The 24,429-nt window shown below is 45.2% G+C and overlaps 1 protein-coding gene across 5 annotated transcripts, besides 4 other annotated features; it reads right to left on the bottom strand.

Moving 5' to 3' along the window:
- Positions 37 to 18,545, bottom strand: ZNF2 (zinc finger protein 2). 5 transcript variants are annotated; one of them, NM_001291605.2, is made up of 5 exons: positions 18,494 to 18,545; positions 8,095 to 8,166; positions 6,745 to 6,871; positions 4,082 to 4,195; positions 37 to 3,290 (listed from the first exon to the last, which is right to left on the bottom strand). In NM_001291605.2, exons 2-5 carry the CDS (start codon positions 8,125 to 8,127, stop codon positions 2,248 to 2,250), a joined length of 1,317 nt encoding a protein of 438 aa, NP_001278534.1. In that variant the 5' UTR covers positions 8,128 to 8,166; positions 18,494 to 18,545; the 3' UTR covers positions 37 to 2,247. The 5 variants fall into 5 exon arrangements, with proteins under 5 accessions (NP_001278534.1, NP_066574.2, NP_001269327.1 ...); NM_021088.4 differs by having other exon boundaries at positions 37 to 3,251; NM_001282398.2 differs by lacking the exon at positions 4,082 to 4,195 and having other exon boundaries at positions 37 to 3,251.
- Positions 5,956 to 6,456: an enhancer, noted in NCBI's record as "H3K4me1 hESC enhancer chr2:95843643-95844143 (GRCh37/hg19 assembly coordinates)". NCBI's record gives its function as "activates a minimal SCP1, AML or CMV promoter by ChIP-STARR-seq in naive H9 embryonic stem cells {active_cell/tissue: H9 hESC(naive)}" and the evidence as "EXISTENCE:reporter gene assay evidence [ECO:0000049][PMID:30033119]".
- Positions 18,286 to 18,920: an enhancer, noted in NCBI's record as "H3K27ac hESC enhancer chr2:95831179-95831813 (GRCh37/hg19 assembly coordinates)". NCBI's record gives its function as "activates a minimal SCP1, AML or CMV promoter by ChIP-STARR-seq in primed H9 embryonic stem cells {active_cell/tissue: H9 hESC(primed)}" and the evidence as "EXISTENCE:reporter gene assay evidence [ECO:0000049][PMID:30033119]".
- Positions 18,429 to 18,858: an enhancer, noted in NCBI's record as "active region_16182". NCBI's record gives its function as "activates an Ori minimal core promoter by ATAC-STARR-seq in GM12878 lymphoblastoid cells {active_cell/tissue: GM12878}" and the evidence as "EXISTENCE:reporter gene assay evidence [ECO:0000049][PMID:35858748]".
- Positions 18,921 to 19,557: an enhancer, noted in NCBI's record as "H3K27ac hESC enhancer chr2:95830542-95831178 (GRCh37/hg19 assembly coordinates)". NCBI's record gives its function as "activates a minimal SCP1, AML or CMV promoter by ChIP-STARR-seq in primed H9 embryonic stem cells {active_cell/tissue: H9 hESC(primed)}" and the evidence as "EXISTENCE:reporter gene assay evidence [ECO:0000049][PMID:30033119]".

Genomic DNA, 24,429 nt, shown 5'->3' with positions numbered 1-24,429 from the left:
AATTCAGAACTCCCAGGGACAGTCATCAGCCAAAAGTTTGTCAATAGTCTCTTTTATTTCCTACTTGACATTATTTAGCAATATCACATATTGTCCACACCTATAGATTCTGTTATGTGTTTTTCCTCAAGTTGCTTTCAAAAGTCCACAGATCAAGTCTTCCCTGCCGTTCGTCTGCTCTAGGGTGAACAGAGTAATAGGGTCGTTAGTAGGTTGGGGAGGGTCTGTTTGGTAATTCAGCTTCTCGAATCCGACTTGAACTTCCAGAGGAAATTCATCTCAATTCACTGGGAATCACGTAGGACAATCTAATTCCAGACAGCCTTTCAGAACCAAGTCCTTTTCTGAGCTTCACCCTAAGCAAAGATCAAGAGAATGCAGATGCCTAGAGTCAAGGTCATCTAGTGCCTAACCTTTAATAAAATAAAAATATAGGCCGGGCACGGTGACTTACGTCTGTAATCCCAGCACTTTGGGAGGCCGAGGCGGGCGGATCACGAGGTCAGGAGATTGAGACCATCCTGGCTAACACGGTGAAACCCCGTCTCTACTAAAAATACAAAAAATTAGCCGGGCGTGTTGGCGGGCACCTGTAGTCCCAGCTATTCGGGAGGCTGAGGCAGGAGAATGGCGTGAACCCGGGAGGCGGAGCTTGCAGTGAGCGGAGATTGTGCCATTGCATTCCAACCTGGGTGACAGAGTGAGACTCTGTCTCACAAAAAAAAAAAAAAAAAAAAAAATAGGACTGGGCCCAGGGAAGAGAAGAGTTTTTGGAGTCAGGAGGTAAAATTCAGCAATGGGGATCACGTTAAGGCAGACCTTAAATATTCAGATAATTTTTCACTAAATAGGGAGCTATTTTAGGTCTTGAGGAAGGCAGTGATGGGCAGGAAGGGGTCATTTGCAAAGACTGGCTTAACAGTAGTATGCAAAATATAACTGTGAGAGAGGTTCTTGGTATTAACCAACTTTCGAGGTGCTTGTTTACTTTCCTAGCTTCTAGGTGCTGGGTTCTGGCTTATTAGATGTGGACAGAAGTGATGTAAGCCTGGGTCTAAGAAAATATCCTACAAATTCCTCTAGCTTTCTCTTCCGCCCTTGTGGTGACTTTGGAAGCCAGATGTTCCAAATAATGAGGATAGAATAAGACAGAATGGTTCCCGTCAGGTTTTAAGGGAGACATAGCTCTCTGCGGGCTTGTTACTGTACCACAGCTTAGCACATCCCTCTTCAATAAAGCAGGAAGAACTGGAATTAGAAAGCTACTGCTGCCAGGAGTGGGAGCTGGGGATGATAAAAGTATAGGCTGGGCTGTGAATTCAGAGAAAGTATGCAAATCCAAGAGGTGTTCTGAATGGAGAGAATTTGGTAAGTAGAAAAGTCATTCACTCATATAAATATTTATTGAGCACCTATTAGCAAGGCACTGTGTGAGATACAAAGACCTGTAAGTCACACCTCCAAGTGCTTACAATCTAGTTGAGAGGATAATACATATACATAAATTATAAAACAAACAAACCATCGAGCATAATGGTAAAGAGAATAGATTTTGAAGGTGGACCTGTCTTCAAGACCTGGCATCACCTTTTACCAGCTGGTTCACCTTGGGCAAGTGATTTAATCTCTCTAAACCTCAGGGTGCTCATCTGGAGATGCAGATGGTAACAGTGCCTACTTCATATGGTTGGTGACAGGATCAATTAATCTACTTCCTGTAAAACCCTTAGCTGAGTCTTTACCTCATCGCAGGTGCTCAGTAAGTGCTAGCTACTAGCAGTGGAAGTAAGAGGTCTAAAAGCTGGGACACAAGAGAACAAGATTAGTGCCCCAAAATGCTCCAAGAGAGGGGGACTAACAGCCATCAAAACAAATGTTCTGAAAAAAAAAAATAGTACTGCTGTGATATCATTCTGCCTTTCCCTCCTGTTGCAGCCTCCAGTTTCTTAAAGTGCAGTGATACCTGGGGCCTAGGTTCTCAGACAAGAGGTGTGTCTCCTCCTAACATCTATCCTATTGTCTGACAAACCTCTTCAAAATTTTGTATCTTTAGAGTCATTTCCATGGCCTCCCCTACAGTTCTATAACACAGCAGGAAGGGAGTGCTTATTAAACACTCTGGCGCAGAAGCAGGACAGGACAACGGCAGCCAGAGTGGGTAGAATGAGCAAATGGCAGCTTTAAGACAGGCGAGATCTATCTCAAATTTGTATGGAAGTTCTTGTCCTACCCAAGCTTTTGCCCAACTCAGTCTATTCCCTGTTTGGCGTAACGCCGTTGATGTTGAATAACAGAAGATTTTGAACTGAAAACTTTCCCACACACAGTGCATTCAAAGGGCTTCTCTCCCGTGTGGACACGCTGATGCCGCGTGAGCCGGCACCGCTGGCTAAAGGCTTTCCCGCATTCGCTGCATTCATATGGCTTGTCTCCAGTGTGGATCTTCTGATGCTGTGTAAGGGATGAGCGGTCAAAGAAAGCTTTGCCACACTCGTTACACTGATAGCGAGGGTCCCCAGCATGAGCTTTCTGATGTCTATTCAGAGACGAGACACCATAGAAAGCTTTCCCGCACTCGTTACACTCATAAGGCTTCCTGCCAGTGTGGATTAGCTGATGGCGAGTAAGAATACTTTTCTGGCTAAAGGCTTTCCCACACTGATGACATTCATAAGGACTTTCTCCAGTGTGAATTCTCTGGTGTCGAGTAAGGGATGAACGGTCAAAAAAGGCTTTTCCACACTCGTTGCACTGAAAGGGTTTCTCTCCAGTGTGAATTCGCTGATGGACAGTTAGGGACGAACGGTCAAAGAAGGCTTTTGAGCACACACTGCACTCGTAGGGGCTCTCCCCAGTGTGTGACATCAGATGTCTGCTGAGGCTGCTCCTGTGGCTGAAGGCTTTCCCACACTCGCGGCAGTCGTAGGGCTTCTCCCCAGTGTGAGTCCTCTGATGGCGGGTGAGGGATGAGTGGTCAAAAAAGGTCTTCCCACAGTCACTGCATTCCTGGTGTCTCTCTTTAGTGAGAATTTCCCTGGACAGGGCTGACCGTCGCCGCAAGCCTTTGTCCCGGGAGAGGGATTTCTTACGAGTCTCCCCTGAAGGGCTTTGCTTTTCTGTTCCCATCCTGCCATTGGGTGTATGAACTTCAAATTTAGGACACAGAGGACTTTGCCTTCCAAGGCATTCCCTCAATGATCCTTCTGATTTTTTGTCTGAAGCATCGTGAATCTCAGGCTTAGTTTCCCAGTCTGGAACAAACAGAAAACAGATGCAGTTTTTTTCCTGGGCTAGGAAATATTACAGAAAGAAGAGATGCTCCGATGAGTCTGAAAGTAATGTATGGTCACTGCATTGCTTGCTCCCATAGATAGTCTTACACGGCAGGGAGGGACTAAGACCTGGGAGTGAAGAAGGTGGCAGGGAACAGAATGGATGGTGGACACCTCAGAAAACAGGAGAATGTCCAGTGGGAGCATGGCCAGGACAATCAGGAGAGCATGCCGAATAGACAGGATGGCACTCAATAGCAATAGCAAAGTGTGGCTGGGCATGGTGGCTCACACCTGTAATCCTAGCACTTTGGGAGGCCAAGGTGGGCGGATCACCTGAGGTCAGGAGTTCGAGACCAGCATGGCCATCATGGCGAAACCCCATCTCTACTAAAATACAAAAATTATCCAGGCGTGGTAGCGGGTGCCTGTAATCCCAGCTACTTGGGAGGCTGAGGCAGGCAGAATCGCTTGAACCTGGGAGGTGGAGGTTACAGTGAGCTGAGATAGCGCCATTGCACTCCAGCCTGGGCAACAGAGCGAGACTCTGTCTCAAAAAAAAAAAAAAAAGAAATAGCAAAGTGTGAGTGCACAACGTTACAGACGTGAGAAAGTAACACTTGGTGAATATAGATGAATAACACGTTAAGGTGTAGAGGGAAAAAAATAAAAGCTATTGGGTGATATACAATAAATAATAAAGCAGAAGACTTGAATTTGAGAGAAAGATGATACCTGTTATTTCCCCCATCACCCAAATAACAAAAAGCCAAACAAAATTCCATTCTGTCTTGTTCACACTCAGTTACCTAGAGAGACACTCTCTGGCCATTCTCTCTCCTCAGACCCATGAAGATCTACCATCCACGGCTTGTCCCCTCTCTTCAATTGGAAAATCACATCAGGTTGAGGAACTGGAAGGCCTGCTCAAAGAGAAAGAAACAAAGCAGGTGGCTGTGTGTGATGAAAATAATATCACTCTCCCAAAGCTCAATCCCAGCCTCTAAGATTTTTTTGTTGTTGTTGAGACAGCATCTCACTCTGTCGCCCAGGCTGGAATGCTGTGGCCTGATCTCGGCTCACTGCAACCTCCATCTCCCAGGTTCAAGTGATTCTCCTGCCTCAGCCTCCCAAGTAGCTGGAATTATAGGCGGGTGCCACCACACCTGGCTAATTTTTGTATTTTTAGTAGAGATGGGGCTTTGCCATCATGGCCACGCTGGTTTCGAACTCCTGACCTCAGGTGATCCACCTGCCGCGGCCTCCCAAAGAGCTGGGATTACAGGCATGAGCCACTGAGCCTGGCCACAGCATCTAAGTCTTTTAGAGAGAAAATGCAAAAGGCAGAACGCACAAGCCAAGAATGCAGAGTCCAAAGCAGAGGAACCTCTGGACGGAGGCCAGGACTGAGGCTATAAAAGGAGCAAGTGGCACAAGGTCAGAAGGTTGAGAGAACCCGTGTAGATTCACGTGTTTATTCTTCCCTGTGAAGTGAATGGGAAGTTCCCAGTGTTAGCACTGGTAGGATGAAGGTCGTTGGCTTAGGAGAGATGAGAATGAAATTAAGTCACCTTGAGTAAAAAGTGTATCCAAACTGCCCATTTTTGTTTATTTGTTTGCCTTGAACATTGTGCTTTCATTGAAACAAGTCTGTCCGGTGCATTCTAGGAAAATTAGAAGTGTATACAAGCAAAAAGAAAAAATCACCTTGCCTACAGTGTATTTTCTTTCTTTCTATTCAGATATCCAAAGACACCCATAAATACATTCTGTTAAAAACTGGATAATGAGGCTGGGCACAGTGGCTCCTGCCAGTAATCCCAGCACTTTGGGAGGCCGAGATGGGTGGATCACCTGAGGTCAGGAGTTCAAGACCAGCCTGGCCAACATGGTGAAACCCTGTCTCTACTAAAAATACAAAAATTAGCAGGGCATGGTGGCCCATGGCTGTAATCCCAGCTACTTGGGAGACTGAGGCACGAGAATTGCTTGAACCCTGGAGACAGAGGTTGCAGTGAGCCGAGATTGCATCACTGCACTCCAACCTAGGCAACAGAGTGAGACTCTGTCTCAAAAAAAAAAAAAAAACAAAAAAAACCAAACCTGGATAATGAAATGACGCTGATTTGTAAAGCTGATTTTTTTTCACACAATAAATTTAAAATACCATTTTATTTATATCAGTACTGATCTACCTCACCATTGTAATGGCTACGGGATATGACATTGTATGGATAACATAATTTATTTAATGAATTCCCTTATGATAGAAATTTAGACCATTTTTAACGTTTTGCTATTAACAAACAATAGTGTGATGAACATCTGCATACACCATGGACTACTAGTCCTATTATTTCCTTAGGATAAATTCCCTGAAGCAAATCTATCCATTTTTGGTTATATTAAAAAATAGATCCTGGAAATAGGCTTGGGCTCTAAACTTCCCTTTTGCTGAGGCCCCAACTTGGGAAAGAGGCACTTTCTTATTGGGCCCAAGGATTGTCTACCGGGTTTTCTGTGGATTCTCTGTTGACAAAACGGCCACACCCAGCATCTCCCTGTGGCTCTCTGTCCCTGACCTCAGGGGTTCTATTTTCCTCAATATGCCATCTACTAAAGCCTGTAACAAATGCTCCTTTGATGCCTCCTGAATATTCCATTCTGTTTGGGAGACAATTGGCCTGATTAAGTTAATCTGGGGGGTGTTAGCACTTACTTTTTGACCTGCCTCGTAGGAAATCTGCAATGTGACTCCTTTTACTGCCATCTGCTGCTTATTTTAAGCCGGTTTCTCAATCTGGGCACTCTCTCAGCCTCTCGTGAAGCTCCTGAAAGGTTCTCATAACCTCCAGGAGCCCAACTTTACTTTTCACTAACACCAGAATCAGCAGTGACTCTTAACTTTCTCTTTGTCACACAAGTCTCTATAATTACAAAGTGTCTTCTGTGAGCATCTAAGACTGTACCTAAGACAAATATTCAAAATCAAACATATATCTGGTGACCTCAGAGGCACAACCCTGAATTCCGACAAGATGGCCCCCTACCCCAGCGCACACTCCTCTGGGTGAGCTGAGTTACCTAACTGGCGAACTGGGAGAACTGGGCATATGAAACTCAGCGTCTTCTGCCTGCCCCTCTGGAGCGCCAGCTCCCTGCCTCTAACACACATTCCGCTCTGTCCCTCAGCCCTCGCTGGCCCTCCCTGAATTTTGCCGGGCAGGCTGCTGAGCGAGAGAGCCTATGGTCATCCAGCACTGCCCATGGCTGGGGAGGCATGTCTGCCCAATGCTGGGGTTCAGTATTGAGCCCGCCGTTGCTGTACTCTGATGCCACATCTTTCGACTCTTACTTTATCTCTCAGGTGGCTCAGAACTCAGCGGGGAGGAGAACGGTATTAATTCCTCAGCCCTCTCAGCCCCACATTAGCATAGTACAGACTGTACCTCCTCATGGAGGCTCCCCTTACCCAATGACACAATGCTGTTATAGTTCTCCAGCATCACCTCCTTGTAGAGGTCCCTCTGTATGGGGACCAGACGACTCCACTCTTCATCTGTGAAAACCACGGCAACGTCTTCGAATGTCACTGATTCCTGAAAATACAATCACATTCTCCCTTACTCTTAATCCTTCTCTTTACTTGGACCAGACCAAAAATGTCAAAGATGACAGCCCTGGAGGACGCATGGTGGGAGGAAAGAAAAACAGTTCTGACTGAGTAGAACTTTAAAGCATTTGGGAAAAGTGGCCTCATCACCCAAGACATGAAGTTCTTGGTCAGAATCTCACACCACTATACTTACAGCTGAGCTTCTGAATATCAGACTCTTTTTTCAGACTTCTAAAAACAGCACAAAAAAATTCCTGTGTACCCTTCACCTGGCTTCCTCAACTGTCAACATTTTCCACATTTACTTTATTTTTCTGTCTCTCTCTAGATACACATTCTCCTATCTTTTTGTTAGGCCTCTTGACTAACTTGTCAACATCATGTGTCTTTAATCCTAAATATTTCAGTGTGTATTTTGTAAAAACAAGGATGTACTGTTGTTATAATCACAGTATAACTATAAAAAATGGAGAAAATAGCATTGATCTTATACTATTATCTAATCTACAATCTTACTCAAATTTCACCAATTGTCTTTTTTTTTTTACAAATCCTTAGAATAATGGTGTTGATTAGATCATCTGTAGGATCCCTCTCATTTCATTCTAATGCTCTGTGATTCTGTAAGATTGCATCTCTTTACCTTCAGTTCTAAAACCTCAGATGAGTCTCCAGTGTGTCTGCAAAAGTTCTAGGCCAGGATGCAGAATTTAAGACTCTGCCCTCGGGCAGGAATGGAGCAAGCCACACAGTCTCTAGCACAGGAGACTCTCTTCAGGGCTCTTAGCACCCCACAGAGGTGCTCTACAGTGTGTATCACACGCCCCAGCCTAGCCCCACACTCCCTGGAACACTGGAGCCTCCTCTCAGTCCACACATGAATGTACCAAAGGGACTGTCAGGACCAGAACCAGCCCACTATTCCCCAAACCTTCCAATCAGACCCTACCATTGGCTTCTAGGCAAAATCACTCACAGTGAAGGCTCCAGGAGTTGTTAAGCCTGGTGACAAGCTAATGGGCACATGCTCACAGCAAGAAAAGGTCACTAAAGGATACCTCAAGTCAAATAGGAAAGAAATACTCCCTGTGGAGTCCTTCATCTGCCTGGCTGGGTCTGCTCAAAGAGGCTCCAGGATAGAGAAAGAAAAGTGGTTACATTCTGGAGATGAATGGAGTATTTCGGGAACACAAAAGTCCACCTCACCTGGCATCTGGTGGTCGGAGACACAGCAGCCATTCTCTCCTGTGTGCTCTCCTTGTGGACAAGGGCAGAGTCCTAATGAGGCAGAAGTGGGGGGTGAGAAAGAAGGTAGGAGAAAGACCAGTCCTGTCGCATAGTCTTTTGACCCATGAAGCACATACCAGGGGGATATGTCATCCTCAATACCTTACAAAAGGGGGTCTAAGTAAAGCAAAGCCAGGAACAATCCCAGACCACCCCAGAATTAGAGCCAACAACCATGGAACTGCGAATTAGACCACAATGTGGTGGTGGTTTTTACCACGATGCTAGAGGCAGAGTTCTGTTCCTGAGAGTCAAGAACTGTGTAAGATTCACACAGTACGTAAAAATTCACATTCAATATTGCCCTGAATGATTACTGGGCAAAAGCCATTAGCAATTTTATAAATGACTACATGGACAAGACATATCAAAGACAATCCAGTCTCTTCAAAGGAAAAATACCCCACTCATAGCCCTTGCTAAAGGAGCATCCCTTGGGCAGCCAGGTTTTGTACCATGTGACCCTGTGTCTTATTCCCGGAGCCACACTGATTAGGCCACAGGTGGGTAATGCACACATGACTAGTAGATTGAGATGTGATCTGGCTTGAAAAGATGACATCCTTCCTTGGGAATGTGAACTAAGAAATGTCAGGACAAGTGGGTGACGAGCTGAAAGGATATCATGAAAGGACGTCCTGAAGCAGCCACAAGGATCGGGGAACCAAAGTTACCAGCAGCAGAACCCATGGGCACATGGGAGGTACAAGGTAGAGAAAAGGTCATAATAGACCACGGGACCAGAGGCAGGCAGGGGGAAGCCCAGCGCAGTCCCATCAGCGGTGAAACACTGACGCAAAGACCTAAGAATTCCTGGGGAAGCCCTCACCTCGCCTAGCACCACCCATGGGCTCCAATTTCCATGCAAACCATCCTTATTTATTCATAGATTGCCATAATACTCTAACTCTCTTGGGCTCTGTGCAAGATCTTATCACTAATTCCCTTTACTGGGATTAGCTAAGTCTCAGTTTTTCACAATCAAGAGTCTAATTAAAACAACAGACCAGGCACGGTGGCACATGTCTGTAATCCCAGCACTTTGGGAAGCCGAGGTGGAAGGATCACTTGAGGCCAGGAGTTCTCAAGACCAGCCTGGGCAACATAGCAAGACCTCTGTCTCTATAAAAATAAAAAAATATAAAAATAAAACAAGAGCATTAAATCCCACATTTCTGGGATTTATGGTGGCTGGGAGATGGTGTGGTCCTGGTGAGGAGGAGGAAAAGGCATATTTGCGGTGCACTGACCATTCTCCAACAGTCAAGGGGATATGGTCACTGCTTCTTGTGACTCATTCATTCATCCTTCTATTCAACCAGCATTTATTCAGCACCAACTACTTACATCAAGCACAGAAAAACTGTCAGACACTGTCTTTGTCCTCCAGAAGCTATAGCTTAGCACAGAGAACAAACAAGTAAATGAGATAATATTTCACTCCAGGATGCATTAAGAGCAGCAAAGCGATATGCACAGCAATCCATGAGAGCACCTCAGAGGCTCACCTAACCCAGCAGGGAGGGATGGAAGGAGGAACTCTGCAGCTTTCTTGACAGGAGTGGGATCTAAGCTAAGTTTTCATTTGTGGGAGGAGCTAGAACATTCTAAATCTTGAGAAAAAAACCTCAAGTTTTTCAAAAAGAAGGAGGCAGGTCTTTACATGGAAAGGATTAACAACAAAAATTAGCTTAGAATGGTAGAAGTCTAGGCTGTGAGCAGTGCTGTGGGGAAGATGAGGGAAAAGAGGTAGGCAGAGGCCAGTTTCATCGAGGAGAGCTTTGCATGGCCCTTTCTCCACAGGCATGGAGATTACTGAAGGATTTGGGTGTGGACATGTCATCACATCCGTGCTTTAAAAAATCACTGTGACTTATAGCAAGGGCCTTGAAACATACTGTTTGACCCAGCAATTCTCTCCTAGGAATTTATACTAGGAAATAAGTAATGATATATGATATATACACAGCTTTTTATGACTCATCATTAACACTAACCCTTATTGACAGCTATGTTCCAGGGCACTTCCTAAGCACTTTATATGTATTATCTCATTTAATCTTTTCAATAAGGCAGCAAAAATTTGAAATACCTTAAACATCTGGAGACTTGGTTAAATAATTTATGGCCCAGTCCATACATATAATGGAACACTATTAAACATCATCTTGGCCTGGCACGGTGGCTCACGCCTGTAATCCCAGCACTTTGGGAGGCCAAGACATGCGGATCATGAGGTCAAGAGATGGAGACCATCCTGGCCAAAATGGTGAAACCCAGTCTCTACTAACAATACAAAAAAATTAGCTGGGCGTGGTGGCGTGTGCCTTTAGTCCCAGCTACTTGGGAGGCTGAGGCAGGAGAATTGGTTGACCCTGGGAGGCGGAGGTTGCAGTGAGCCAAGATCGTGCCACTGCACTCCAGCCTGGCGACAGAGCAAGACTCCATCTCAAACAAACCAAACCAAAACAAAAAAACCCATCATCTTAATAACAACTAGCATTATTGAGTATTTTCTATTTGCCAGGTACTGTGCTAAGTGCTTTTTATAAGGCTAATTTAACTCCATCCTCATAAATCAATAAGGTAGGCACTATTTTACAGATTAGGAAATTAAGGCTTTGTAAGAATCTGAGGTAGAACTTGAAACCATGTCTGCCTGGGAGGTTTTAACTTTCATGCTACCATGATTTATTTTCATGAAAAGATAGCCACATCAATTACAGACCAATAGACTAGAACAGAAAATCCCAAAACATATCCAAACATTAGGGAAGCCTGATGTATGACTGAGGTGGCATTACAAGTCACTGGGGAGAAGATCACTAGTGATAAACTGCAAACAACTTCAATGTCCATTAATCAGATAAAGGATTTGTGAATATATATACATTATCTCATATATGAATATTATATATGAATATGTGTATTATACATTATATATGAATATTATACATTATCTCATGTTAACAGAGATAAATTACAAAAACATAATTACTGGGCAAAAAATAAGTTATAGAATGACTTACTGTATAATATTTACATAAAATTTAAAAACAGGTAAATAATACCTACAAAAATCTATTAACACATGGGACAATAAGCAGCAAATGTGTACATATCTGAGAAGAAAGGGAAATAAGACTGGGGAAGGATACCCAGGATACTTCAGCTTTATCTGTAATGCTTTGTTTCTTACAAAAAAAAAAAAAATCAACAACTGAAAAAAAACCACAAAGAACGGCCAGGTGCAGTGGCTCACACCTGTAATCCCAGCACTTTGGGAGACCGAGGCGTGTGGATCACTTGAGGTTAGGAGTTCAAGACCAGCTTGGCCAACATGGTGAAATCCCGTCTCTACTAAAAATACAAAAATTAGCCAGGCATGATGGCACGTGGCTGTAGTGCCAGCTACCCTGGAGGCTGAGGCAGGAGAATTGCTTGAACCCAGAAGGCAGAGGTTGCAGTGAGCTGAGCTCACGCCACTGCACTCCAGCCTGGGTGACAGAGTGAGACTCCATCTAAAAAAAAAAAAAAAAACCACAAAGAAATTCAAAACACTTGAAGAATGCACACTTTTAAAATTACATATTTGTACATGCACATTATGTATAGAAAAAGGAAAAACACATAATAAAATGTAAATGAAATTTGAGTGGTGAGTTATAAGTTATTTTTATTTTCTTACCATTCTTCATATATTTTTTTCAACAAGAGTAAGTCCTTATTTTGGTGTACAGAAAAAAATAACAGGAAGGAAAGAAGGGTGGTGTGCAGAAAAGTCACAGCAGACCTGAGACTGCTATTCCTAGAAAGTTCTGCTTGCATGCTGGCCCTTCGCTGGCAGCTGGAAACTTCGATTTTGAGAGGGTTCCCCAGTTCCCTAAGAGATAACGGTGGTCTACTATGCCTAAACTATTTGTGCAAACAATGTCGTTTATGGTGAACATGTGCTCTCCTATTGGAGGGTCTGGAATTTTGGTATGTGTTAGGCAGACGGTGCCTATGTGACTTAGCCCTCAATAAAAAACATGGGCTCTGAGTCTCCAATGAGCTTCCTTGAGCAGAGACATCACACTTGTTGCTGCATTTTCGTTGCTGGGGGAAGGAGTGTGCTCCATGTGACACCCACATGGGAGAAAGAGAATAGAAGCAAGCCTATATACGGATTCCTCTACCCGGCTTGTCTTTTCCCCTTATGATCTGGCTGCCTATCCTTGCAGGGTCATCATCATACTCTTAGCCAGAAGTACAACTATGGGTCGAGTCTTGAGTCCTTCTAGTGAATCCCTGAACCTGGGGTGATCCTGGGGACCCCAACACAGGTGGCCACGCCACACTGAGTGGCTGTGGTGTGATGGGATTACAGGAAGGAAAGAATGGAGGTGAGTAGACCATTGAGGAGAGTGTTATAATTAAATAAGAAAGATGACAAACTGAATGAAAGCTGTGAAAGCAGAAATGTTGGAAACTGCTGTCAAGCTATTAAGAACAGACAGGCTGGGTGCGGTGGCTCACGCCTGTAATCTCAGCACTTTGGGAGGCCGAGGCGGGTGGATCACGAGGTCAGGAGTTCAAGACCAGCCTGGCCAAGATGGTGAAACCCTGTTTCTACTAAAAATACAAAAATTAGCCAGGCACCGTGGCAGGCACCTGTAATCCCAGCTACTTGGGAGGCTGAGGCAGGAGAATCGCTCAAACCCGGGAGGCAAAGGTTGCAGTGAGCCGAGATCACACCACTGCACTCTAGCCTGGGTGACAGAGCAAGACTCTGAGTCGGGGAAAAAAAAAAAAAAGAAGAAGAAGAAAAACAGACAATACACTGGCTGGAAGAAGAGGCTGAAGGTGATGAGGGCAAAGATGACGCCCGGGTTACCAATGCGGCATGGATAACGATGCCGTTCATGGAGATAAGGTACAGAGAAGGACTGAAGGGAAAACCAATGAGTACAGTTTTGGACATTCAGAATTTGAGCCGACCCCACATCTTTGAATAAGAAAACTCAGATGACTCTGGCTCCCACTGGCCAGATAAATAATAAAAATCACTAGCGCTAAATAAAATAATTTGAACTTTGAAGGACTATGAGTTTCATATTCAAAATAGAAAAGTTAATATAAAATATGCCATAAAAGTTGTAATACAAGGAAGGCAATGTTTAAAACTTTACTTACATAAAAAGGTACTTTTTTCTATTAATTGTATGACTATAGATGTACCCTCAGGATAGATACTTGTATCTACTCATATAAGTATGTAAAAAGAAATTTGGAATGGGAATAAACCAGGTAATTCTAGATACAGAACTACATACCCCAAACAGGGAGGACTAATCAGTACTGGGGCCACACGTAAGTATCAAGTAGAAAGAGAAATGGGCTCTACTAACAATGAACCAACCTCTGCTTCCAAAGAAGCATAGTAACTGTGCAGACTTCATCCTTTCTCCCTTAGGATATGTCTCCCTACAGCTAGACTTATGAATCAAACACAAAAATAAGGAACAACTAAGTTTTCAAAAATGTCAAAAGACCAGATCAATAGATATTTACTGGTCTGTTTGGTAGCATTTAACTCTATTCTATAACAGGTCTATCATATTCTTGGATATTCGGGGATTTTCTGTTCTAGTCTATTGGTCTGTTACCTATGCTATCTTTTCATGAAAATAAATCATTATAGCTTAGAGTTAAAAGTTGCCAGACAGCTCAGGGTTATTTAACAATGGGTTCACACTGGCCAAGCAAAATTTTAAAAGAATATTACCTTGAGGGTGAATACCAGTTTGCAAAAACTACGTGAAAAGCAAAAACTTATTGGAAAAACAAGTTTAGCTAAGTATAAGCAAAAACTAATAAACAAAAAACACCCCCAACCTAACGGGGAGAGATTAGGGTTTGAATCTTGCTGGGAGGAGGCAGATATAAACACAAACAGAAACAAAGACATGTCAATTGATAACCAGAGCATGCAACGTGTATTGTCTAAAAGTATTCTTTTCCTTTTTGGTCTGTTAAGATTCGTCCATCACAAGAGGGTATCCAAATATTACCCTTAGGCCCTAGAAATAAGTCAAAATTAGCATTTAGAGATACAGGAAAGTGTAGTCATTGGGAGTACAGGCTCTGGAGACAGACTGCCTGAAATCAAAATCCACCTCTGCCTCTTCCTACCGGTGCTACCTCAGGAAAGTTTCTTAACCTGTCTCAGTCTGCCTGTTTGCAAAACTGGAATAACGGAAGTAATATCTCTTGCAGTTATCTTGATGCTTAAATAGGGTAACACATGTAACACATTTAGAATAATGTGCTAAGTAAAGTTAGTATAAGCTAATGTAATGTAATAAGTAATGTTATAATTCTAGGAAGGTAGACACACTGAAAATATTAATTACACTGAGTTGTTGCATTTTTTTGTTTGTTTTTTTTGAGACAGGGTCTCGCTCTGTCTCCCGGGCTGGAGTGCAATGACATTATCTCGGCTCACTGCAACCTCTGCCTCCCCGGTTCAAGCGATTCTCCTGCCTCAGCCTCCTGAGTAGCTGGGATTATAGGTGCCTGCCACCATGCCTGGCTAATTTTTGTATTTTTGTAGAGGGTTTCACCATCTTGGCCGGGCGGGTCTTGAACTCCTGACCTCAGGTGATCTCCCCACCTTGGCATCCCAAAGTGCTGAGATTATAGGCATGAGCCACTGCGCCTGGCCGAGTTGCTGCTATTTTAGAGTAGGTTTAAATGTAAGTGCAGTAATAACTTTGGAGTCAAAGTATTTGTATATGTTTGTCTAAAGCACTGGAGCTTTTTGAACAAATCAAACCATATCCAAAACTGCAGTCGAAACTGCTCAGTGTTAAATGTTTAAAGACAATTTTCAAAGTTTTGTTTATTAGATTACAACTTTAATTAAACTGAGCACTGAACGAATTACAAATGGTGGTGAACATATAAGCTCCCCAGTTATTAAACAACCAGTGGATACTCCCAAAGTGCTCCTCATCCGTAGACTTCTCTCCCCATTAGGTTTAGACTCCACCAGCAGTCACTTCAGTAAGCTCACTGACACTGAAGACTTCTCAAATCCACCAAACTCACAGGGAGTTACTGCTAGCCAAGAACCACCTCCACTTCTGTGTTCTCTTTTCCTATCCCTGCATCTCAGAGTATCACTGGAGAAAATGTCCCCTAAATTCAGTCTATATCTTCAAACGAGCCCTTGACATCGTCCAGAAAGCTTTTACTGCTCCCATCTTAGCTACATGGCTATTCCAAACCTCCATGGGTACCATTCAATTTCCGCATAACTTTTGTCTTCTACCACACCAAAGATTCCCAGGAATGAGTTTCAAGGGAAGCAGGGTTATATGGTAGAAAGCATTCCACAAGCATGGAATTATTAACCATGAAGCCTTGGATGAGTTACTTAAGCCAACAGTTGTTTACCACCTAACTCACAGCATAGTTATAAATGGTGAGACCATTAATATAAAGCATTTATCATACAGTTCATTCAACAAATAAAGTTCTCTTCCTTTCTACTGCCCAATGCAATCCATCCACTCATCCCACTATTTGATGAATATGTACCAAGTAGCTGTTATGTGCTAGGGCAGCGAGATGTGTGAGGTCAACAAGACAGAAATGTCTGTCTCCAGGACTTTACCTTTGTGTCCTATACCCTGGGTTCCACTGTTTTTCACATTGCTTCCTCTCAGAATTTGTCCCTGCACTTCCCAGTATTTTTTTTTTTTTTTTTTGAGACGGAGTCTGGCTCTGTCGCCCAGGCTGGAGTGCAATGGCACGATCTTGGCTCACTGCAACCTCTGCCTCCCAGGTTCAAGCGATTCTCCTGCCTCAGCCTCCTGAGTAGCTGGGACTACAGGCGCGGGCCACCATGCCCAGCTAATTTTTGTATTTTTAGTAGAGACAGAGTTTCACCATTTTGGCCAGGATGGTTTCAATCTCTTGACCTCATGATCTGCCTGCCTCAGCCTCCCACAGTGCTGGGATTACAGGCATGAGCCACAGCGCCCAGACCCCAGTCTTTTTTTTTTTTTCTTCCAGCATTTTCCACCCCAGTAGCACTTTCTTTCAACATCTTCAAAGACATACAAGCCTCCTCTACCTGAAACTATTTTCACTGAATCCCATGACCTCCTTCTAGCAAAGCAGTTCTCATTTAGGTTGTCCTTTCATGATCAAACTTTTTGGAGAATAATAACCTACTGACTCCACACTGTTACCACTTACTCTTCTCCAGTCCCTGTTTTTCAGCTTTTGCCCCTCACACACCTGAAATGGCATGCTTGAAAACTACTTTTTTTTTTTTTTTTTGAGACGGAATTTCACTCTTGTCGCCCAGGCTGAAGAGCAATGGCATCATCTCGGCTCACTGCAACCTCCACCTCTCGGGCTCAAGTGATTCTCCCACCTCAGCCTCCCAAGTAGCTGGGATTACAGGCACCCGCCATCATGCCCTGCTAATTTTTGTATTTTTGTAGAGACGGGGTTTCACCATGTTGGCCAGGCTGGTCTTGAACTCCTGACGTCAAGTGATCTGCCCACCTCGGCTTCCCAAAGTGCTGGGATTACAGGCATGAGCTACCGCACCTGGCCTACCAATGCATTTCTGATCCTATTATCTCTATTTCTTTCTTTTTTTTTTTTTTTTTTTTTGAGACTGAGTCTCGCTCTGTCACCCAGGCTGGAGTGCAGTGGCGCAATCTTGGCTCACTGCAAGCTCCGCCTGCCGGGTTCATGCCATTCTCCTGCCTCAGCCTCCCGAGTAGCCGGGACTACAGGCGCCCGCCACCACGCCCGGCTAATTTTTTGTATTTTTTTAGTAGAGACGGGGTTTCACCGTGTTAGCCAGGATGGTCTCGATCTCCTGACCTCGTGATCCGCCCGCCTCAGACTCCCAAAGTGCTGGGACTTACAGGCGTGAGCCACTGTGCCCGGCCATATTATCTATTTCTCTGTAGCTTTTCACTGTTCGGACAAGCTTCTGCTTATTCAAGTGGTTACTGTAACTGCTATGATACTGCACTAGCTTTTCTTCCAACCACTAAAATTGCTGTCTTTCTGTGACTCTTTTTCCCCACTTTTGCCCTGGAAACATGGATGCTGCCCATAGCTCAGTCTTTGTACTTTCTTCGTTTTTGCCATCCCTCAGAAAGTCCATCCACATTCAGGGCTCCATTTTCAAACTCTACAGATGTCCATGTCCTGTAATTGTATTGTAATTTTACAATACAACTGTATTGCATTCTTCCAGACTCATCCTGCATTTCCAAATGACTGCAAACCTTAAATCAGGCGTTCCACCATCACCTCAAAACTATCTTCCTTTAGGCAATTCCACACATCAACGCCTCTTCCTGGCTTTACATTTGTATCAGATGTTTTATTGTTCTCCCAGGTGTCCCAAATTCAAACTCTTACCTCACTCTCTTTCCTCCCAAATCTAGTCACCAGGCCCTTTTGACTCTTCTTTTGCAGTGTCATCTGTATCCTTCCCTTTCACTACCACCACCATAATTCAAGTCCACAACATCTTACTCCAAAACTACCATACATTCCTAAGTAGCTCTCTGCTACTGGTCCTTTCCCCTCTCTAGTCCTGAATGTGACCTCTAGAATAACTGTCTCCAAATAGTTTCATTCGTGTCAGTCCCTGGATCACACCTATATAAGCCACCTTGCCTACTGAGTCTTGTCCTGATTCTCTGAGTCCCGGGCCCTGGCTCCCAGCGTACCTTTTCTTCAACCTTGTCTACCACTGTTCCTGCATTTCTGTAAAAACTATCTCCAGCTCAAATCTGCCTAACGCTTAGCTGCTTCTTTCGTGGTTTTTGTTTTGTTGTTGTTGTTTTTCTTTCACGTCAAATCCCACCTCCTCCATGAAGCCCTCCAGCACTCGTGCGGAGGCCCAGGGCAGGGAGCTAAATGAGGCAATCTGAGGCGCTGTCTGGCAAAGACGGAGCGGCAGCATCCTAGATTTGGTGTCAATTCCACCCACGTTCATTAAGCACCCATTATGGGAAGAAGAAACGGGAGAGGCGGAGGAAGACTCCAAACCTCCAACCTTAAAGTCCGGGACCGACATACAATGGGTGCCCAGACCCCACGGGACACACGCACACACGGGGGTGGATGCACAACTTTCCGTCCGCACCGAGACGTCGCGACACACGCTCTGCAGGCTGGCCTCGCCCGTGTCACCCCGTTTTGCTCCCACAGCACCTCCCCAAAGTTCTCATGTCCCCTCTCTCGGCTGCTGCGCTCACTCCGCTCCTTGAAGACACACACCCACAACCCTCACCTCCGGCACAGAGTGCTCGGGACCCGGGAAGACGGCGCCTCTTCAGGTCGGGAAACCAACGCGCCTGCGCACAGGGTCCTGGCGACTGCGCTCCCAATCAATGCGGGGCCTTCGCAAGGACTTCATCTCCCAGAAGTCTCGGCGTCCGGTGCGCTTTAATATGACGTCCGAAAATGTGTGCAAACGCCGGCTTCCCGTGGCTGAACAGGATCCAAAATGGCAGCGCTGTCGCCTTAGCTGGGAGAGCGAGCCGTTGTGGCTGTTTGGGAGACTTATGGTCACCCTGAAGTACTGCCTGCCTCTAGTGTCGCGTCCCTCCAGTATCCGATGGGAGCGCCGTCCGCAGGGAATGTGTCTCTCTGATCATGGTGCCTCGTGTCCAGCTCTGGGGAAGACCGAGACGAAATCGAGTCAGCTGGCGTTGGGAGAGGGCTTATTTCCGCTTCCGCTTGCCCACTTTCAGGAATTTGATTCTGAGAGCAGGGCTGCGGTTCCAGGCAGGGTTTGTACACATATTTGCGTTGGAAGGAGAGAGGAGCCTAGGACACATATGTATTAACTGTGCAGCTGGTCCGACTCCCGACAGCTTCAGCGCACACCAGCCAGCCTTGGAGTTGCTGGAACGGCCCTGGCTGCAAGCTGGAATCACCCGGAGAGCTTTCGACATTGATGCCTGAGGCCCAGCTGTGGAGCGACAGTTTGAAAAGAGCTGCAGGTGACTCTAATGTGCAGCTAAAGCTAGGAACCACTGAGCTACATCTCAGGGAAGACTGAAAATTACAAAGAATATGATAAAATCTTACTTCAGGAACAAAGCTACGTTTTTCCAGGTTAATTTATTAGTGGTTTGGGTTTTTTTTAAGTTTTTGTGGGTACACAGTAGGTGTGAACATTTATGGGCCACCTGAGATATTTTGACACAGGCATGCAATAAGTAATAATCTCATCAGGACAAATGGGATATCCATCACCTCAAGCATTTGTCCTTTGTGTTACAAACGATCCAGTTATATTCTTTTAGTTACTTTAAAATATACAATATTATTGGCTGTAATTACTCTGATGTGCTATCAAATACTAGTTATACTATTTCTTATTCTATTTTTTGTACCCATTAACTATCCCCACTTCCCCACCCCGCCAACCCTTCCCAGTCTGTTAACCATCCTTCTACTCTCCATCTCCATAAGACTACACTTTCATTCAAAAAATCCAAATTGCTCACCATAAGCAAGGCACAGTTACAAATATGAGTAAGTTACTGCCCCAAATGAACTCTTGGTCCAATGGAAAAAATCAGAATGTAAAATCACAATAGAGGCAGTATGTTCTATAATTATGTCACATTCAACATACTATGAGAGTACAATGGAGGAAGCTATTAACTATGGCCGGGAAAGGTGGGAAAGGATTCCTTTCACTGGTATACTTAAATACTTAAGAAAAAAAAAGTGTGATCTAAACAGTGAATAGTACATGCAAAGGCATAGTCTAGAGGATAAAAGTGAAAATAATTAGTAGCAAAATGAATGCCTTGTGGATGAGGTTTAGGGGCCAATAACTATCTTGAGGTAAGGCCAGGTTGTGGCTGCCTTTGTGTTGTACTAAGGGGTTTGGACCTTCCTAGGAGATTAGAGCTTGATTAAAGTCACAACATCCATAAGAGAAATACTTTTTTTTTTTTGTTCCCTTCTGTGTGGTGGTTTTTATTATTTAGCCTTATACTGAGGGTGGAAACTGGGGTCCTGAAAGTGTTTCCTTCTAGAATATTCCCCACCCACTGGCAGGCCCTAGGCTTTGTCTTTACCGCTTCCAGGTAGCTGCCAAAGTGGAAGTTTATGTGCTCTAGGATTTAGCAGTCTAAAAGTCAGGTTTGTTGCTCGATTCTCAGAATTCTAGCTCTCACTTTATTTATTTTTTGAGACAGGCTCTGGCTGTGTCAGCCAGGCCAGAATGCAGTGGCATGCTCTCAGCTCACTGCAACCTCCACCTCCTGGGCTCACGTAGTCCTCCCATCTCAGCCTCAAGAGTAGCTGGGACTACAGGCATGCACCACCATGTCTGGCTACTTTTTGTATTTTTTTGTAGACATGGGGTTTTACCATGTTGCCCAGGCTGGTTTCAAACTCGGGCTCAAGCAATCCACCCTCTTCGGCCTCCCAGAGTGCTAGGATTATAGGCATGAGCCACTGCACCTGGCCCATTTCACTTTATTTTTTTAAATGTTTACAAATTCCTCACTTTCATGCCTGCTCATCAGTGTGTTTATAAAGATGTTTGCAATTTTTCAGCATTTTTAGTTTTTTTATTAAGAGGGCTGTTTAGGCCATCTAATCGGCCATGTTACTGGGAAGATTAAGAGAATTTTAACTGATATTCTCAAAAGAGTTAGGAGGAGCATATGGAAGCTAAGCAGCCAAGAAGTGACATACATCCATCTTTTTAGAGTAAAACAGGTATCTCTTGGGCCCAGAAGCTTGTAGGCTCTGCCAAATTGCAGGATGTTATGGCCGTCTGATGCTGTTTAACCACTCCAAACTTAGTGGCTGAAAACAACAATTTTATTAGGCCAACATGTTCTGTGGGTCGGGAACTTGGATGGGCACAACAGGGATGGGCACACAGGGATATCATTTGGATATCCTCTCCAAATCTCATGTTGAGATGTAAACCCCAGTGTTGGAGATGGGGCCTGGTGGGAGGTATTTGGGTGATGGGGGCAGATCCCTCATGGCTTGGTGCCGTCCTTGCAATAGTGAGTACTCCTGAGATCTGGTTGTTTACGTGTGTGACACCTTCCTGCCCTCCCCAACTCTGTTTTGTTCCTGCTTTCACCATGCAAAGTGCAAACTCCCACTTCACCTTCCACAGTGAGTGAAAGCTCCCTGAGGCCTCCCCAGTAGCCAAACAGATGCCGTTGCCATGCTTCCTGTACAGCCAGCAGAACCAAGAGCCAAGGAAACCTCTTTTCTTTATAAATTACCCAGTTTCAGGTATTTCTTTATAGCAGTGCAAAATGGCCTAACACAGCTCGTTTCTGCTTCACAATTTCTGGATCCTCAATTGGGAGGACTATATCTGGCACCCAGATTGGCACCCGTGGCTAGGCTCAGCTGGGACTGTTCGCCAGTGTCCCCGCATGTAGCCTCTCTTTGTGCTTGGACTTCCTCACAACATGGTGGCCTCGGGGCAATCAGGCTTCTTGCACCTCATTTCAGGGCTCTAAGAGGGTCCCAGTGAGCAAGACAGAAGCTGCATGGCTTTATTTATTTATTTATTTATTTTGGAGACGGTTTCGCTCTTGTTGCCTGAGCTGGAGTGCAATGGCACGATCTTGGCTCACCACAACCTCCGCATCCCGAGTTCAAGTGATTCTTCTGCCTCAGCCTCCCGAGTACCTGGGATTACAGGCGTGTGCCACCATGCCCAGCTAATTGTGTATTTTTAGTAGAGACAGGTTTTCTCCATTTTGGTCAGGTTGGTCTCCTGAGCTCAGGTGATCCGCCCACCTCGGCCTCCCAAAGTGCTGGGATTACAGGCATGAGCCACTGCGCCCGGCCAAGAAGCCAGTTTTCGTTTCTTTTTTTTTTTTTTTTTTGAGATGGAGTCTTGCTCTGTCACCCAGGCTGGAGTGCAGTGTTGCAACCTCGGCCCACTGCAGCCTCTGCCTCCCGGGTTCCAGAGATTTTCGTGCCTCAGCCTCCTAGGTAGCTGGGATTACAGGCGCACGCCACCACACGCGGCTAATTTTTGTATTTTTAGTAGAGACGGGGTTTAGTAGAGACAGGTGTGAGCCACTGCGCCCGGCCGCCAGTCTTAAAAATTTACAAACTGTATGATTCCATTTATGTGACATTCAGGAAAAGGCAAAACTATAGGGAAGGTAACAGAGCAGTGGTCACGGGTTGGGGTGGAAGAGGCATTTGACTGCAAAGGAGCAGTAAAAGGAATATTGAAGGTGATGGAGAGTGTATAGGCTGGTGAGGACTGGAGCCCCACCAACAGTGCTTTGAGATCAAATGGTGCACTAGAGCACTGAGCAGGAGAGAGAATATTCCTGGGGTAATGAATGTGCATTGTAACAAACAAGGGCCTCTGGATCAAGATCTGTCCCAAAGGACACAATGTAAGAGTGGGGAATTTCAGACACTGCAGCAGGCCTACAGAATGGGCATCAGGGAAAGGCAGTGGCCCTCAAGTTCTTCTGAAGTAGTTCCATTTCTAGTTCTGTTGAGCCATCAATGAGATGAAAATCTTTTCTCATTTGTCCATCCCCTCACCTTTTTGGTTCGGAGCACCGAAGATGGAAAAGCTCCTATATCAGCCATGGTTCCCAGACAATGTCCCCCTGCGTGGAAAAGGGCTTGCTTGCTGCGCCATCCTGGCCATCTGTGCCACTGGAAGTGCTGGCAGAAAAGTGAAACAGAGACTGCAAAAGCAGGAAAGGAGAATGGTCTCTTTGCCTTGATTTCGTGTTATTTTGTCTTTGCCTTGATTTTGTAAGTTATTTTGTCCTGAACTCCTAAATAGGGTTGATAAACCAATCTCTCTGTCCTCACAAGTGGCCCTTCTCTGGCTGAGGACTGCCTCCAGAAAACCACCGTTTTAATACTCAGACTGTGTCTTAGGCATTGGCGCTGCTATAACAGAGTGTCTTAAACTGGGGAATTTGTAAACAACACAAATTTGTTGTTCACAGTTCTGGATGCTGGGAAATGCAATATCAACGTGCCAGCCAGTTCAGGGGCTGGTGAGGGTACGTTTCTCATAGATGGCACCTTCTGTGTCCTCACATGGCAGGAGGAGCAAAGGGGGCTTAAGGCCCGTTTTTATTTTTATTTATTTATTTAATTTATTTTTTGAGACGGAGTCTTGCTCTGTCGCCCAGGCTGGAGTGCAGTGGCACGATCTTGGCTCACAACCTCTGCCTCCCGGGTTCAAGCAATTCTCCTGTCTCAGCCTCCTGAGTAGCTAGGATTACAGGCGTGCACCACCACGCCCAGCTAATTTTTAAATATATTTTTGGTAGAGACAGGGTTTCACCATGTTGGCCAGGCTGGTCTCAAACTTCTGACCTCAAGTGATCCGCCCGCCTTGGCCTCCCAAAGTGCTGGGATTACAGATGTGAGCCACCACGACCGGTCTAAGGGCTGTTTTTAAAGGGCACTAATCTCATTCATGAGGGCAGAGTCTTCCAAAGGCTCCACTTCTTAATACTATCACCTTGGGAGTTAGGTTTCAACATATGAATTTGAGGGGGACACATACATTCAGACCATAGCAGGCCGTTTTTCCATTTCTTTTGGGTCCTAAATGATATTTGTTTCTGGAGTAGGAGGGCGTTCAAAGTCCTCTTTTGTTCTTCAGCACCCTTCGCTGAATTCAGGGGCAGATGGAGAAAGGCAAGAGGCACGGGGCAGCCTGTAGAAGCAGTATCTAGCACTGAGTCCCCAGTATCCCCTAGGCACGCCAGGAGAGCCTCCTGGAAATCCTCACTCAGCAGATCCAGGGTAGGAACGCGGCTTCTGTTGAATAGCCTTACATCGAGATATGCAGGTTGGGGGCGGTGGCTCACACCTGTAATCACAGCACTTTGGGAGGCTGAGGCGGGAGGATCATCTGAGGTCAGAATTCGAGACCAGCGTGGCTAACATAGTGAAACCCCGTCTCCACTAAAAATACAACAAATTAGCTGGGCGTGGTGGCGGGAACCTGTAATCCCAGCTCCTACGGAGGCTGAGACACGAGAATTACTTGTACCCAGAAGACAGGTTGCGGTGAGCCGAGAGCGCGCCCCTGCACTCCCACCTGGGCGACAGAGTGAGGCTGTCTCCCCCCTCCCCCCAAAAAACGAGAGAGATATGAGGCTCAGCTACCAAAGTCACGCGCGAGAAGGGAAATGCTTGTAGGTCCCTGCCCTTGGGGGAGAGCGGAGT

The sequence above is a fragment of the Homo sapiens genome, chromosome 2 (genome assembly GCF_000001405.40).
Source record: "Homo sapiens chromosome 2, GRCh38.p14 Primary Assembly".
Lineage (NCBI taxonomy): Eukaryota > Metazoa > Chordata > Mammalia > Primates > Hominidae > Homo > Homo sapiens.
Note: the sequence above shows the minus strand (reverse complement) of the source record. Positions and strands in the feature narration are given on the sequence as shown.

Coding starts and splice junctions, on each gene's coding strand:
- ZNF2 (NM_001291605.2), bottom strand. CDS start 8,127: ATGGCTGCTGTGTCTCCGACCACCAGATGCCAG. Junction 4,196..6,744: donor TAACAGCATTGTGTCATTGG/GTAAGGGGAGCC, acceptor CTCTTTGAGCAG/GCCTTCCAGTTCCTCAACCT. Junction 3,291..4,081: donor GCCAGAGAGTGTCTCTCTAG/GTAACTGAGTGT, acceptor AATATTTCCTAG/CCCAGGAAAAAAACTGCATC.